Here is a 15519-nt window from a genome sequence, read left to right as displayed (position 1 = left end):
GATGGATGAAGTGCACAAATCCAGGGAAGAAGGGAGACGGTGGCCTGACCTAAGGGCTCTCCCCACCCCGCCCCTCCCTGCCCTCCAGACCTTGCTGTCCGGCCCCAGCACCTCCTTGTCCTTCTCCGCTGCGTGCTGCAGCTTCCGGTTCAGGTCCTGGAACATGTCTTGGTGCCGCTTCCGGGTGTGCATGATCTTCTGCAGGCGGGGTCTGGGCAGTGAGTCCTGGGCCAGGAGGAGGGCATGGCCCATCCTGCCTGCCCCGCCCGTCCCCTGGCTGCCGGGGAGCTGCCTGGCCGTGTGGGAGCCCAGAGCACATCTGGCCCTAAGTGTCTGGTGGGGGGGGACACCAGAACTCACCTCAAAGTCCAGTTCTGCATACCGCGACTTCCGCCGCTGCAGGGAGAAGGGGTTTGCGAACATTCGCCAAGGGTCCCTGACAAGTCCACGCCTCTCCCTGCCTCAGACTGAGGGCATCAGGGACTCACTCGCCCCATGCCTGCCTTCAGGGACCAGGCCAGACCCAGGGGACATGCCTGGGGGCGCACTGAGGCAGCTCCTCCAGCTATGCGCTGGGTGCCAGCGAGCAGCACCAAGGCTGGGCTGGGGTGTCCGGCTCGCCTACCCGGGACACACTCCCCAGGATCAAGGAGACCTGAACTTGGGGCCACATGGCTGGGTCCCCCGACAGAGAACTCAGGGACACAGGGCAGCATCACCAGAGGCCAGGAGCCAGGATATGGTGGGAGCATATCCTGTGGGGACGGGCTCCCCCAAAAACAACATCCTACAGGCTGACTGAGGCTGGGTCAGCTGCAGGCTCCAGGCTGACCTAGGCAGGTATGTGCTGCCAGGCTGCCCCAAGGGCTGGACTAGCGACTGTGCGAGGTGCAGGTCCTGCTCCGTGGGTCCAGACTGTGGGTCCCTGAGCCCCTTTGAAACGGGGTGAGACCACCCTGCCAAGCCTAGGGTGGGGACCACACGTCAGACATACACAGCACACCCAGCAGGGCCAGGGGTGGGGGGTGTAGCTAGGAGGCAGAGCCAGCCCGCCCCGCTGACGGCGTGGGGGTCCCACCCAGCAGGGGTGACCCAGCTGCTGCAGCCCTGCCCTCGCTGGCTGGGGTGTGGCCCACCCCTGCCCCCCTCACCTCCAGGGAGCTCACAGACAAGGTGGCGACATTCTCGTTCTTGGTGCTGGGCCCCGTGCTGGGTCCCGGATGGGCGGCAGGCTCCCCGGGATCCCCCAGGCTGGGGGGTGCCGGCTCCAGATTGGGCGGTGGGGGCAGGGGCTGCTGGGGAGGTGGTGGCGGTGGGGGCGGAGGCGGTGGGGGCTGGGCAGGGGGTGCCTCGGGGGGCCCGCCGCTGGGGGGCTGGCGGGAGGGCGGGCTGCGGGCGGGGAGGCTGGCCTCGGGGGCCGTGCTGAGGTGGATGAGGCGGGTCTGCGGCATCTGGTCAATGTGGATGCTGTACTTGGGCTCCTCCTTGGGCTTGGGCCGCAGCGTGGCCGTGGCCGTGGGCAGGATCACGTAGCTCGTGTCCAGAGCCTTCTCCTGGGCCCGGCTCAGCTCCGAGTCCAGCTTCTTGAAGATGTCCCCGTCACCGACGAAGGAGGACTTGGGCGCCTTGTCCCTCTTGAGGGTCAGTGAGTGGTTGGGGAAGTCGGGCAGGGGCCCGCCGGGATAGCGGGGTGAGCCGTGCAGGTGCAGCTTGGACACGTTGGCCGGCAGGCTGTTGAAATTGGTGGGCGGCCCCTTGGCATGGGCCAGCTTCAGCTTCTCCTCCTCGGGCAGAGACGGCCGCTTCAGTGTGCCCGTGATGGTGGCAGTGCGGCAGGCCGCGATGTCCTTGTTCAGCACTGCAGGGGCCGCGGGGGAGACAGCGGGGACAGGTGTGGGGGTGAGGATGGCGTAGGACAGTCCCCAGCAGGAGAGGGGCCCAGTCTGCCCTGCGAGGCCGCCACCTCCTGGGAGACCCTGGCCAGGTCCTGCTGGGTACCGATCGGAGGGCCAACTGCAGGTACCACCCTACCCAAGCCTGGCGCTACGGCCCCTAGGGTTCCTGTGTCCTCAGATGAGGCTGCCACACAGGGTGGCCCTCTCCACTGGCCCCAAGAAGACAAATGGCTGTCACCCACACACTGCCCTCCCCAGCGCTGAGAAGAGCAGGCGAGGGCGGCCTTGACTCCCGGAAGCACAGGGACACAGGCAGAACGGTCTGTGCTGGTGGCAGAGCCCAGCCGGCCCTCCAACGCTCCCGACGCCCACGGCCCTGGGCCTTGTGTGGGTGGGGGGCAGTGTGCGGGAGCCCAGTGGTGCTGAGTGCAGCCACGAGGCCCTGGCCCTCTGTCACGGCCCTTCCTGCATCGCTGCCCCTGGGGCCTGCAAGCCTCCCTGCTCTGCCCTGAGGGCCGCCTGGTCCCTGGAGAGAGGTCTCCATACCCAGACACCTCTGATTCTGTCTCTGGTCAGTTGCAAGGGGCCCAGCCGCCTTGACCTCTGAGTGGGGCTCCAGTTTGCCCCCGACTTCCTGCCAATGAATCTAGCCCCTACTGGCTGGCGGAGAACCCCAAGCTGACTCTGACCCAGCCGCCTGCCCCTGACAGAGGGGTGCCCACCCTCCACACCCCTCCTTTCTCCAAGCCCCAGTCTCCAAAGATCCAGACCCCAGGGCCCTTCCTGGGAAGCCTGGCCTGCCCCCTGTGTCCTGCCCCATGCAGGCTGGCAGATGGTTACCCACCACGCCAAGCCAGCCCTGGGTGCCTGTGTTCACCAGCTGCTCCCTTCAGCCACCTTGCCAGGCACACGGGCCCCAGGGTCACCAATGCCCCCCAAGCTGCCTAGCCAGGGGTCACTCTCTCTCCCGAACACAGGCTTCCCCGTCCCCCTCAGAGCTCAGCAGGCCATGCTCCCGGCCTGGTCCTCTCCTCCACCCTCTGGACAGCAACACCCTGTGCCCATTTTCAGCCCCGCCCCTTCCCTCGTCCCTACCCAAGAGTGACCCGTCATCCTCCCCGTCAGACCCACATGCCCCACCCAGACAGCCACAGCACTCTCGGGACGCACGTCCCCAAGGCCGCCCCACCCCGCACAGACCCTGGGGCTCCCGACCTCCCACACACCTCACACTTTGCTCCCCACAAGGCAGAACGAGCGCCTGGCACGTGAGGGGTCTATGTGCCTCCCTCGCATGTACCCACCTTGGGGCACAATAAAAGCCAAGCTCCCCCCAGGCCCAGGCCCCTCGCTGGCACCCCGCCCACCCTCCCGCTCTGAGGAAGCTCCCAGGCGCTCAGCACCAGCTGCTCATGGCGCATCCACCAGCTGCATGTGGATCCACCAGGCGCTGTAGCCAGCGCATGAATGAGAGGGAATCAGGGGCTCAGAGAGGCCCACATACACCCAAGCCACCTGAGGCCCCAAGTCCTAGGGTCACCCCTCTGAGAGGCTGTGGGACTGGTTCACAGGAGACCCCAAGGGGGCAGAAGGTGCTTTTTGTCCAGCTCCCATTCAGCCCAGCCCCGAAGTCACTTCCTCCAGGAAGCCCTCCTGGGGCCCAACTGGCACCAGCACACACTCCCCACCTGGGGCTGTCCCAGCTCCTCTGCCAGGGCTGTCTCTAGAGAAGGTGCTCTTCAAATATCTAAATGACCAGAGGGAGCATGGTCCATTGGCCTCTCCACAGCTCAGAAAGCCACTGCCTGTCACTGCCTCAGGACCTGGTTCACAGAACAGTGGTGGGGACAGAAACAGACCCTCGCAGTCTGATGCTTGGGGATGGGCGGCGGAGCTTCCTTTATTGGGCAGTCGTTCGTTTTTTGCACTTGGTTCCAGGAAGCTCAGCACCGGCCGGGGGCTCCATGGTGGGTCCTTCTCCCCGCCTTCCTCTTGCTCCCCGTTGTCCCCCTAGCCTGAAAGCCCCACTCACTTCTGCCCCTGCTGGGACTGGCAATGAGGAAATGAAGGTGGCACAGAACACAGGTGCTAGAGGGCGGTGGGCAGGAGGCAGGGGGGGGGAGCGGCACTAGGGTGAGGCTGTGCTCCTCGCTGGGGCCACGACAGAGGAAGAGATGTCAGGTGGGCAGGGGACGCAGCCAGGCGCTCCACAGGCACCTGCTCAGCAGGAGTGCCAGGGCAGTGTTCTGGAAGCTTCTGATCATGCCCCATGGACCCTCCTTCGGCCTCAGGAAGTGGACGGGGGTGGAAGGCTGGGCCCCCAGGGCAGGTCCCCTGGGTCCAGGTGGGCCTGACGGTGTGGCTGGGTGTGGGTGGGGGCAGCAGGAGTGGACAGGGATGGGTGATGTGGGGGAGGCACAGGCGGAGGCGTGGAGTGGGGCCATGCAGGGGGCCGGGCTGGCACTGTCCTCTCACCTGTCGGGCGCTCACCTGATCTACAGGCCAGATCCACGTCCTTCTCGAAGTCGGTCTGTAGGACAGAGACAACAGGGCAGGGTGAGCGCCTCTGGGAGCGGGGGTGTGTGCACGCGTGCACAGACCGCTCGGGAGGGCCACGGTGCTCCTGCTGCCCCGAGGAACCCCTGTCCATGTCCACAGCCCAGTGCCCCACGTGGGCGACCATGCCTCCCCATGTACCTGCCTGTGTGGTGGGCGTTTGTGTCTCTGGGTGGATGCGTGTGTGAGTGTATGCGTGCGTGTTTGTGGATATGTCTGTGTATAAGTGGGTGAATTTGTGTCCCTGTGTTTGCGTGTGGATTCAGGTGTTTGTAAATGTGAGAGAATGCATCTGAGTGTTTTGTACACGTACATGCGTGTGTATTTCTGTATGTGGCTGTGTGTGTGTTTCTGAGGTGTGTGTGAGACTGTTTGTGAGGCACACATGTGTGCTCTCTCCAAGGCGTCTGGGAGCTGATGACCTCCTGCTTCCTCTGGTCTCATCTCTCCCCCCAGGCCTCAGGAATGGCTCTGGGCCTGCGGCACCAGAACTCTCCCCCTTGGTCCCCCACATCCCTCCAAGGGGGCCCCATCCAGGGTCTGGGGAGGGAGAGGTGGTGGGGGGGGATGTTGAACATGCAATTCAGGGCCAAGGCCGGCACCCACCACCCTCAGGCAGCCACACCAAGCTGACAGTCAGCTGGGGAGGCAGGAGTGGGCGGCCCAGACCCGCCCTCAGGGAGCTCAGGACCTGCCCAAGCCTGGGGCTGTCCTTCTCCAGGGGCCCTGGGGCTCCAGGGGACAGGCCCACCCTTCACTGAAAACCTGGAGGTTTCTTCCCTGCAAATGCAGGGGTTGGGTTGGATGGAGACAACAAAATCTTCCCCCTGGGATCAGAGGTCAGGCCAGGAGAAACGCTGGGGGAGGGGGAAGCTGTGTCCCAAAATGACAAGCTAGCCACTGGTGGATACCTGCTCCCTGGCTGATGGAGACACTGAGGCATGGAGCCATGAGGGGCCTGCCTGGACGTCACCCAAGAGCCGAAGTGGCCGTCTCTCACTGAAGGACCTCACCCTCACCCGGGGCTGGACATGCCATCTGCTGAGGCCCTGCCTGTGAGCTTCACAACCACTGTGAGGTGGCTGGGCACCCCGGGACCCAGGGAGCACCTCCCGCGCACCAGCCGTGCAGAGTTCACCAGGGGCGTGGCCTGAGCCCAGAAAGGTGGCACCATGGGGCAAGAGTCAAGGAGGGCTCCCTGGAGGAGGGGACCCACGGGAGTGCGCAGGGTGGCCAACACCTGGGGTGGAAGCTTGTGTGAAGGACACAGGGGCAGGAGCAAGACCAGCACAGCTGCGGGTTCTGCACAGGACCAGGCCAGGGCGTGGATGCTGTCCTGAGGCCTAGAGGGTGGAGAAGGGGGCCTGGCTCCACCCTGTGTGCTAGCCTCTGGGTGCAGAAGCAGGAGGTCTAGTGACGGGTGTGGGTGGGAGCAGACTTGGTGACTAGGAGCCCACTACGGTCCTGGCTGAGCCCCAGGGGCACAAGGCTGCAGGAGGAAGATGCTGAGGTCGAGGTGTGGAAGAGTTGAGGCTCCACAGGGGGCTGTTGGGGGCCCTTACGTAGGAACCGCCACTTGGGCCGCCCTCCCAGGACCTGTGCGTGTCGTGGGAACGCTGTGCTGTAAAGAGGACAGGCGCAGGCACAGGCAGGGGCGGGGGGTGCAGAACACACCGCTGAGGACACCAGGATGGGCAGGGGGAGGGCAGAGAGCCCAGAGAGGGTGAAGGCAGGATGGCCAGGGGCCACAAGGGAGAGTCACCCTGCAGGGGCTGAGGACTGGGCAGCACCCAGGGAGCGCCAGGGAGGCAGCAGGTGGGAATATGCGGGGTAGGGGGAGGGGATGGGCAGGCTAGGCTGGACCCCTAGGTGGCAGCTGAGCAGGACTTTCCTGGGTGGGGATGGAGGGCACTGAGGGTGGGCCTGGGAGGTGTAAGGATGGGGACCTTGAGTTGAGGGCTGGGATGCTCAGAGGGTGGTGTCCAGCCAGACGGGCACTGCTGCCAGCGGGGGTGAGTGTGGGGTGGATGCCAGCCTCCGCTGAGACCTCCAAACTCATCAGCTCAGGCCTTCCCAGCTGGAAACCCCGGACCAGGGGTTCCACTTGGCGAGCCTCAGTTTCCCCAACTGCACACTGGGTTCAGAGCTCCTCTCAGCAGGGTTGCTGGGGCCTAGGGGAGCTTGGGGCACGGTGAGGGCCTGGAGGCACTTGGCGGGGGTACGAGGCAGGTAGGGCAGCCTGAGTCCCCGGGCCCTGAGTCCTACCATGAGCTGGGCGTGGCCGTTCTGGAAGGAGCCCCCTGAGTCCCCGTTGCCCTCCTCCTGCCGGTCAACCACACGGCATTTCACAGCGTCCTGGACCTGGGGAGGGAGAGCCGAGCACCTCAGTGGCAGCCACGCCCCCACCCTGCGCCAGCGCCAGATCAGATGAGCAGCACCTGTGGGGGGGCGGGCGTCTCGGGGAAGGGCAGGGCTGGTCAGCAGGAGGCCTCCCCACAGGGCCACCTCTGGTCTGCTGAGTCATGACCCACTGGGTGGAGAAGGGGAAAAGAGACCCCAGGAGGGGAACAGCCTACCCCTCTCCTGTCTGAGATTCTCTCTACCAAGCTCCCAGCCACCGAGAGCTGCTGCAGGCCCTCGGGCCAGAGTCCGCCTGCGAGAACCTGCCCTGACCTGCAGCGGGCCGAAGATGTCCCTGGACCTGGCCTGCATCTCCAGCAGCCTCAATGTCGTTGCCTCCTCTGAGCCAGTGGAAAGCCTGGCCCTCACTGCCCTGGGAGTGTGGGGTGCTGTGCCAGGGTCCCTGAGCCTGGCCCCTCCCCAGAGCCACCCCACTGGGAACAGCACTCTGTCAAGGGGGATTTCACCCTTCATGGCCACCCACTCTTCAGGGGGGACAGTGGTGAGGACGGCAGCAGACTCTGTAGGAGGGGCTACAGGGGAAGACCAGCGGCCAGCAGAGCTTATGGACAGGGAACTCCCAAGGAGGTAAAGACTGGATATCCAGGAGACATCATCTACGAATGCCAACTGTCCCTCCCGTGGGGCCAGCAGCCACCTCCTGTGGGCTGCTCTGGGCAGCACACTGACACTGCGGTGGTAACAGTATATAAAGGGAATCCTTGGGGGTGGTGGGGGGCATGAAAGCACAGAGGGCTTCCTGGAGGAGGCATCCAAACAGAAGTTGGCAGAGGCAGAAAGAGGGCAAGCTGGGGCTCCTGGCTTCCAGGCACCCACCTACCTACCCACCCACTCAACCACAGACCTGTGGCCCTGTTCCCTCACCTAGTGCTCTGCTTCATGCTGCTGGGGGGCTGAGCACACCCAGCCCACCCCTCTCATCAGGCAGATGGGGACCGAGGCCCAAAGCGGGCGAGAGAATTGTCCGTGGCCACACAGCTGGTCAGAGGCAGGGCCAGGCCTGGAAACCAGGGTCTCAGTGGCCTCTGACCCCCGGACACCAGCTAAGGACTCCAGGCCGCCACAGCAGGTGTGCCTTCCTGCCATCCTCTCCCTCATGGACCTGCCCCGCAAATGCCTACTGGGCACCTACCGTGTGCCCGGTCCCACAGGCAGGTAGGGAAGTGCTCTCTGTGGGCGAGCAGAGGAGCTGGGGCTCCCCAAGTCCCTCTGGTACCCTCTCCAGGAACACCCGAGCCAGCCTCAGCCCAGGAGGCCCCAGCCTCATGGGCAGACGAGGGACTGACTTGCCCACCTGCAGGAGTGTCCCAGGCCACAGGGCCGGCTGGGCTGCCCGGCATGGCCTCCACCTGGCCCAGCCTCCTCAGCATGCTCTGCAGCCCTGGCCACCACCCCCGAGGCTGAGGACCTGGGTAGGCAAGGCCCCTTGCTACCAGGCCCAGGTGGAAGCCATCTCTGGGCAGGACCTTGAAGGCCCTGCAGCACGGAGCCCACACACAGGGGCTGGGAGCTCACTGGGGGCTTCGGGGAAGTCTGGCCCTGGTGTCCTCTGTCCCCGCCCACCATAGGAGCATGCTGGGTCCCCTCCTTCCCTGACCCCATTTGCCAACCATGAGGCTTCTTGCACATCTGAGACCCCCAGTGCCAGCCCTCTGCTCCAGCTGGCCCTGGGCTCTGCCTCCCTGGAGCCCCTCCTCTCCGCTGTCTCCTTTGCAGCTCCCGTCACCGGTCAGTTGGTCCTTGGGGATTTGCCTAATTGTTTGAGAAATCTCTCCAATTTCCGTCTTTTCTATTTTGTGAGATATTTTGCCTCCATTTTCCTTCTACTGAGCTTTGAGCTGCTCTCTGTTTTTAATTTCCACAAGGCTCTTTTTGTTCCTTTTTCATAGGCTACTGTTCTTGTTTCACAGAAGCCAGGCACTGGGGGCCAGGAGTGTGGCCTCAAAGAAGAACCGCCTGGCCTCAAATCCCAGCCATGGTGATGAGCTCCTGTGACGAGCTCCCTGGAGCTGTCCTGTCTGGAACGGAGCAGGTGGCACCTGCTTTAGAAGCTGTCATGAGATTCACTAACACGAGTTCATTGCTGGGACCAGGGCCTGGCCCATGTGGCGTGCACCAGGGTGAGCGGCTTCTCCCAGGTGAGGATAAGAAGGGGCCACTGAGGTTTCTCCTTCCTGGGCTGCCTCTGTCCCCACGCTGTTTTCCTGCTTGTCTGGTTGGGTTGCAACTCCAACAGGAGCTCTGCTGTCCTCATCAGGAGCTGCTGGGATGTAAGTGTGGAGCACTGCCCGGCTGGTGGTTGACTGGTACAGGAGCCGTTTCGCTGCTGGACATCAGAACTCTGGCTCTTCCTCCTCTTGTCTTTCCTCGAAGTCAGATTGCCTTGAGAGGGGCGTTCACACCTCCCCGCAGAGGTCTGGGTCTGGGAGGCCTGCGCTGACACGTGACCCAGGCTCAGCACATCCACTTCCCTGACTTGTTTCCAGGCGGCATCCCCATCTTCAGCTGTGCCAGCTGCCCCAGGCCAGAGCCCCTCTGTTCACTCTGCCCAGAGAGTGAGGCCCAGGCCGCGGAGGCCAAGAGGGCAGCCCTGCCCTTCCAGGCTGGGATGGAAATCGCCACCTAAGGCCGGAAAACCAGGCCTCCCACGCCTGACCTTCCTGTGGCAGCCAGAGATCCTGGGGAGGGGGCGGGCCCCACTCCTGACACCGTCTGGCTCCTTGCAGCTGGCCGAAGCCTGGGCTGTCTCCAGTTAGCTGGGACTGCACCTCTCATCCTGCTTCCCTGCCTACCGGCTCCCCTGCTGTCGGCTTCTCCTGTATTCTTCATCCTCGGGAACCTGTGTGCTTTTCAACAGCCCCTCTGCCGTCTCTCCAGGGGGACCCAGGAAGGGGGAGGTGGCCGCCCCGCTCCTGGGCCTTCCGCCCTCCTGGCGCTGATCTGGAAGCAGGTGTCCTACGCCACCCAGGTCGACATGCATGCTTTCCCACATTCCAGCCTCCGCAAGAGCATCCCAATCGTGGCCACCAGCCAGGCGGTAGTTGGGATGTAGTTTGGTGAAAACCTTCTAGTGACACCTTCTGGAAAGATCCAGAAAACGCCGGAAGCAGGAGTCTCTATTGCCCTGGAAGCTACTTCTGCTGCCAGCTTCCTCACTCCTGTAGGCCCCTTGAGGATGGGGGCCCCATGTGCTTTCGTCCCCCACGCCCCCAAGCCAGTGCGGGCGCAGGGCATCCTTGGGAAGGTGCTGCACTGCCTGGGCCGCTCCCAGGGAGAGTGGGGTGGACACGCTCACCTGCAGGCCCCGCTCTGTGGACCACCGAGGCCTGCAGATGTGTCAGGGTCATGGATGCTGCGCCTACCCACAATCTCCCTGCCGAGGTCCTCGGGGAAGGAGGAGGCCACTCGGCAGCCCCAGGACCCCGCAGGAGCCCGGCCCGACAGAGGCTGCCTCACCCACCTCTCTACGGAGGATACAGTGCACCATGACGATGACGAAGCCCTCCAGCGAGTCGAAGACAGCGAAGAGGATCTGGAAGAGGGCGGAGCGGCGGTCGGTGACGGCGAGCACAGCCGACATCCAGGTCAGCGCCAGCAGCGGCAGCACCACGCAGGAGCTCCACAGGGAGGCCCTGGGGATGGAGGGTGTCAGCGCTGCCGCCCCCGCCCCTGCCCCCAGGGACACCCTGCCCTGAACCCTGCATCTCCAGGCCTCGGTGGGGACCCAGCCCTAAGTCCCCGTCTCTGTCTCTGGGGGCCTGGGCCAAGCAGCCCTTCCTCTCTGGGGTGAGTCTCCCTAGGGGTCCACCACTGCCCAGGCTGCGTCTGCACCCTCTCTCCTCCCCAGGACTCCCCCAATCCTGTCCCACACTCTGCCCCTCCCCTCTCAAGCCCTTGCCCCAGGCTGGGGAGGAGCCCACCGTCAACACTGAGGTCCCAGCACCCCCTCCCCAAGCCCAAGGTCTCTGAGTGGACCCAAGGACTCAGGAGGGAGGTCCTGAGAAGCTGGGCAAGGGGGAAGGGCTCTTTGGGAAGATCCAGGTTCCTGACAGTCTAGGAGGTGACAGGGGAAGGGAGACAGGCTGGAGAGGGATGGGCTGTCTGGTGTGGGGTGCGCCAAGGAGGATCCCCTGGTCCAGGACCCTCAGAGAGCCCACAGGCCCCAGGCGAGGGGTCCAGGCCCTGAAGGGCAGAGCAAGATGGCCATGGTGGGGAGGGGAGGGTGGAGCCCAGAACTCAGAGACCTGGAGAGAGAGAAGCTTAGAGGGAATGAGATGAGGACAGACAGACGGCCAAGGCCAGCAGGGGAGGAGCAGAGGAGAGACAGAGACAGACGGCAACAGACAGACTGACAGGCGCCTCCTCCTCTTCGTGGGCCAGCTCCGCCCATGCCTCCTGAGCCCCAGCGGCCACCTGCCTGTAGACCCTTCCTGCTGCCTCTGCCGCTCAGTGCCACCCCCTCCCAGGAGGTCCTCCAGGAGCCTCACAGCAGCCCTCGCCCCTGCAGCCCAGCCTCGCTGGGAGCAGTGAAGGCCTGGGCCCCTCCCCACATCCACCCACTGGGTTCCGCGCGTGGCCTCTGAGCCTGTGCTCTCCTGCTCACAGTGGGGACACCAACCTGCTTCCCGGGGCTGTGGAACACAGACAGAGGCCAGCAGGACCCCGGCTGCGGTGAGTGCTCGGGAGGTGGCCCTGTGCCTGCCCGCAGGAGGCCCCACAGCCCGCAGGACTGTCATCACCACCCGGAATGGGTGCTGGCGCCAGCTTCCCTCCTCCCCTCCTCCTACACAGGGGGAGCTGGGGCAGGAGGACTGAATAGGGAGTAGGGGGCCCAGGTGTGCGGTCAGAATGCCAGGCAGGAGCTGGCACACCAGGGCTGGCAGGAGAGATGCTGGAATGACCTGGAGTCTGCCAGGACAAGGGCCTCCAAAACCACACGCTCTGCTCCTCAGCCCTCTCTAGTGTGGCTTGGCCACCAATGCTGCTCCCACCCCTAGTGCAGAACACCTGTGCAGGGCCCAGCCCCCAAGGGATATCTGTGTCGTCATCTCTCAGGACCTCTCAGCAGGCACAGCCAGCCATGCCTGCCTCCTGGACTCTCTTCCTCCTCTCCTCCATCCGGCCCTCTACCCCAGGCCTTGGTCTGCTTTTCTTCAGTGATGCTGTCCGGCAGGGATCTGTCTGGCCCCAGCCTCAGGCATGACCACATACCCATGGCTAGGACACGTGCAGGCCCAGAGCCCAGAGCAACACCAGGACAGAGGGCCTGGTCCTGCATGGCCAGTGCCTCCCGGGTCTCAGGGTACCGTGGCCCTGGCCACGCACCCGCCCCTCCTGCTCTTGGACATAGGATGGGCTCTAATAGCCTCATGGGACTCCTTCTTCCCTGTACAACTTTGGAGTGTACTAGAGGCCACCAACCTCCTTGGCCCTTCCCCTGGCCCTGGAGAGCCTGCCCCTGCTCCCTGTGCACCCCACGCCTGGGAACTCAGGCGTCCGGAGAGGCCTCCCTTGCCCATGACCGTGCTGCTCCCTCCAGGCTGCAGCAGCGGACAGGGCCCTGGCTGTCACTCACTGCTGTGTCCCTGCACTTGGCACAGGGCCTGTGATGAGGAGGCCCTCCATCAATATTCACAGAGCCAAGGAAACACTCACTGACACAGAGCAGGACCCCTCGGCTGGGGCCTCGGTTTTCCCATGGCGATAAGCTGGAGAATCTCTCTTCTCCCTTCCAAAGCTGGTATTCTTTGAGCCGGGACCCTGGACTCCTCTCCTCACCCAAGTCCTAAGGGAGGAGGTGCAAGGCTTCCCTCCCCATGGAGACTTCTTTGCCTGCTGTCAGTCACCCCTGCTGCTGCCCGTCAGGGGATACAGTGGTGCAGCTGGGTCTCCAGGCCTGACATTTACAGCCCGATCTGCTGCGGCTGGCAGGTGGCCTGGGGCCTGGGGACCTGTAAATTACTCCCACACAGCAGCTCAGCCTCTGCGGCTGGGAAACATTTCTGCAGAGAGCGGTGGGAAGGAAGCAGAAAGGCCCGGGAGCTGCTGAAGGGGAGGCCAGGAGTGCCCAGCTGCACCGCGCCTGCTCCTGTCTGGAGAGGCAGGTGCCCGGGGTGCGGGGAGAGGCTCTGAGTGACTGCAAAGGGAACATCCTTCTGGCCCCCACTTCTCTCTGATGGAATGAGATGGGGTGGATCCCACAGCCCCTGCCACATCCCTGGTGTTGAGACAAAGAAAGGGCAACACTAGCCCCAAAGAACCTGAACTTCCCGGGGCCTGGCAGGCCAGTGTGGACGCTGCCCCAGCTCCGGGCTTGCTCCTCCCACCCAGGCTAGCCTCGCCCCGACTCGCATCTGCACAGTGCCAGGGCCCAGAGCTCTTCTCCCACGGCTCCTAAAACCCTGGACCCCTAGTGCCTGGCTCAGGGAGCAAAGCAGGAGGGTACAGGGGTATGCACCTGGGCGCACCACCCTCACCTTGGGTTGAGGGAGGCAGGGCACGGACGAAATGACCCCTCAGGCTGGAAAGCCCAACTGGCCCCACCCACCTGAGCCCATACCGCCCTGCCCTATGCACAGCTGCTAAGGCTGCCCAAGGTCAGCAGATCAGCCCCTGACCCTGAACCCTTCCTTCCCTGTTCCCTTGGCCCTGGCTGCCTCCTGCTCTCAGGCACACATGCGTACACACACACACACGCATTCACACACTCACCTATAAACACATTCCCACATACACAATGCTCACACGCTCATACACACACACGCACACACAGGCACATGCCCAATTATATACACACTCACACTTATACACACACACTAACGCAAAATATCAAGTTGCACTCACACACAGATGCACACTCACATGTATATACACCAGGTTGCACTCACACACAGAGATGCACGCTCACACATACGCACAGCAGGTTGCGCTCACACACACAGATGCACGTTTGCACGTATGCACACTGGGTTGCACTCACACAGATGCACGCTCACAGGTACACACACAGATGCATGCTCACACATCCACACAGATGCACGTTCACATGTATACACACCAGGTTGCACCCACACAGATGCACACTCACACATACACACACCGGGTTGCACTCACACAGATGCACACTCACAGGTACACAGATGCATCCTCACACGTCCACACACATAGATGCACACTCACACATATGCACACTGGGTTGCACTCACACACATAGATGCACGCTCACAGGTACACCGATGCACGCTCACAGGTACACACAGATGCACACTCACACACGCATATACAGATGCATGCTCACACGTATGCACACTGGGTTGCACTCACACACATACATGCACGCTCACACATGCACAGTGGGTTGCACTCACACACATAGATGCATGCTTGCACACATCAAGGCACACTCTTACACATGTACACATACACTTGCACACTTGTGGCATCAGAGGTGGCACTGGCGGCAGAGAACTCCACACTCAGTACACTTGAGAGCACACCCAAGGGGGTATGGGGGCGGTTGGCTACAAGCGAAATTAAAAGCCTGAAACAAAAGCAAGTACTCTCACATGGGCACACACACACACACAAACACATCTGCACACACCTGGTCATGCTCTCACACGAATGCACACTCATGTACACTCACATATGCACACTCATACACACATACCTGGTGACATGCATACCCACACACCCCCAGTGGCATGCATGCACACTCACACACATGCACACACCTAGCCATGCTCTCACATGTGTGCTCATGTGCACTCACAGGGAGGGAGGCTTCCCATCAGGCAGGCCAGGGCCAGTCTCCTCGCCCCACCACAGAACTGCGGGGGTGTCATGGGTGCAGACCCCTGCCCAGGCATCAGCCATCCTGGGCTCCGTGCCAGCAGCACCAGGGGTGGGGGTGGAGGTTCAACTCCAGAAGCAAGAAACCACAGCTTGCAGCCTGGCACACACTCGGGCCCCAGAGGGACAGGACTGACCACCGCTCCTTCCCTACCGCAGCGCAGCCCACAGCTGCACTCCACCTGTGCCCAGGCCCGGCCCCACGCCCTGCACCCGCGGTGCCTTGTGCTGCCAGGCCTAGAGCAGGCCTGTGGGGAGGATGGAAGGAGGAGCTGAGGGCAGTGGATCGGGGGGACGGGAGTGGCCTAGAAACCCAGAGTGGACGGTAGAAAAGGAAGAAATGAAAGATAAACATAAAACAAACAGAAGGTGACTCAGAGCGCGGAGCCCCAAGGGTGGGCCTAGGAGGGAGGTGGCAGCGGAGGCACTAACATGGCGTTACTGGTGGCGTCGGAGGTGGCATCGGCGGCAGAGAGGACTCCACACTCGGCACACTTGAGGGCGCGCCCGAGGGGGTGCGGGGACGGCTGACTGCAAGTGAAATTAAAAGGCTGAAACGAAAGCAAGCGCCCTGCTCTCGGAAACCAGGCAGGAGGGGCGGGGCCAAAGTGCAAAACCAGCCCCTCAGGAGTCCAGCCTGGGCCCCAACAGGGACGGTCCTGGGGGCTCTCAGCCACCTCACGAACTCAGGCCTGGGGCGTGGGCGCTGTGGTGGGCAGGGCTGAGGGCTGCAAGTGGCAGGCATGGGGGGAAGGTAGTGAGGGGTCCCTGCGCTCAGCTGAGGGTGGACCCTGCC

The 15519-nt window shown here is 63.4% G+C and overlaps 1 protein-coding gene across 19 annotated transcripts in view; it reads right to left on the bottom strand.

The window, feature by feature from the left end:
• ADGRB1 (adhesion G protein-coupled receptor B1) overlaps positions 1-15519 on the bottom strand; it is a 95359-nt gene that overhangs the window by 1209 nt on the left and 78631 nt on the right. For 5 of the 19 annotated variants that reach the window (XM_047422060.1, NM_001702.3, NM_001391986.1 and 2 more), the window contains 6 exons: positions 10333-10504; positions 6717-6812; positions 4386-4425; positions 1152-1858; positions 361-396; positions 91-198 (listed from right to left, as the gene is read on the bottom strand). In XM_047422060.1, coding sequence (XP_047278016.1) covers positions 91-198; positions 361-396; positions 1152-1858; positions 4386-4425; positions 6717-6812; positions 10333-10504 — 1159 coding nt within the window. Of the gene's footprint in view, positions 1-90; positions 334-360; positions 397-1151; positions 1859-3583; positions 3719-4370; positions 4426-6716; positions 6813-10332; positions 10505-15155; positions 15255-15519 lie in introns of those variants that run through there. The other 14 variants (XM_017013691.2, XM_017013692.2, XM_017013693.2 and 11 more) reach the window with 7 other exon arrangements.

This window comes from Homo sapiens, chromosome 8, assembly GCF_000001405.40.
Source record: "Homo sapiens chromosome 8, GRCh38.p14 Primary Assembly".
NCBI lineage: Eukaryota > Metazoa > Chordata > Mammalia > Primates > Hominidae > Homo > Homo sapiens.
Note: the sequence above shows the minus strand (reverse complement) of the source record. Positions and strands in the feature narration are given on the sequence as shown.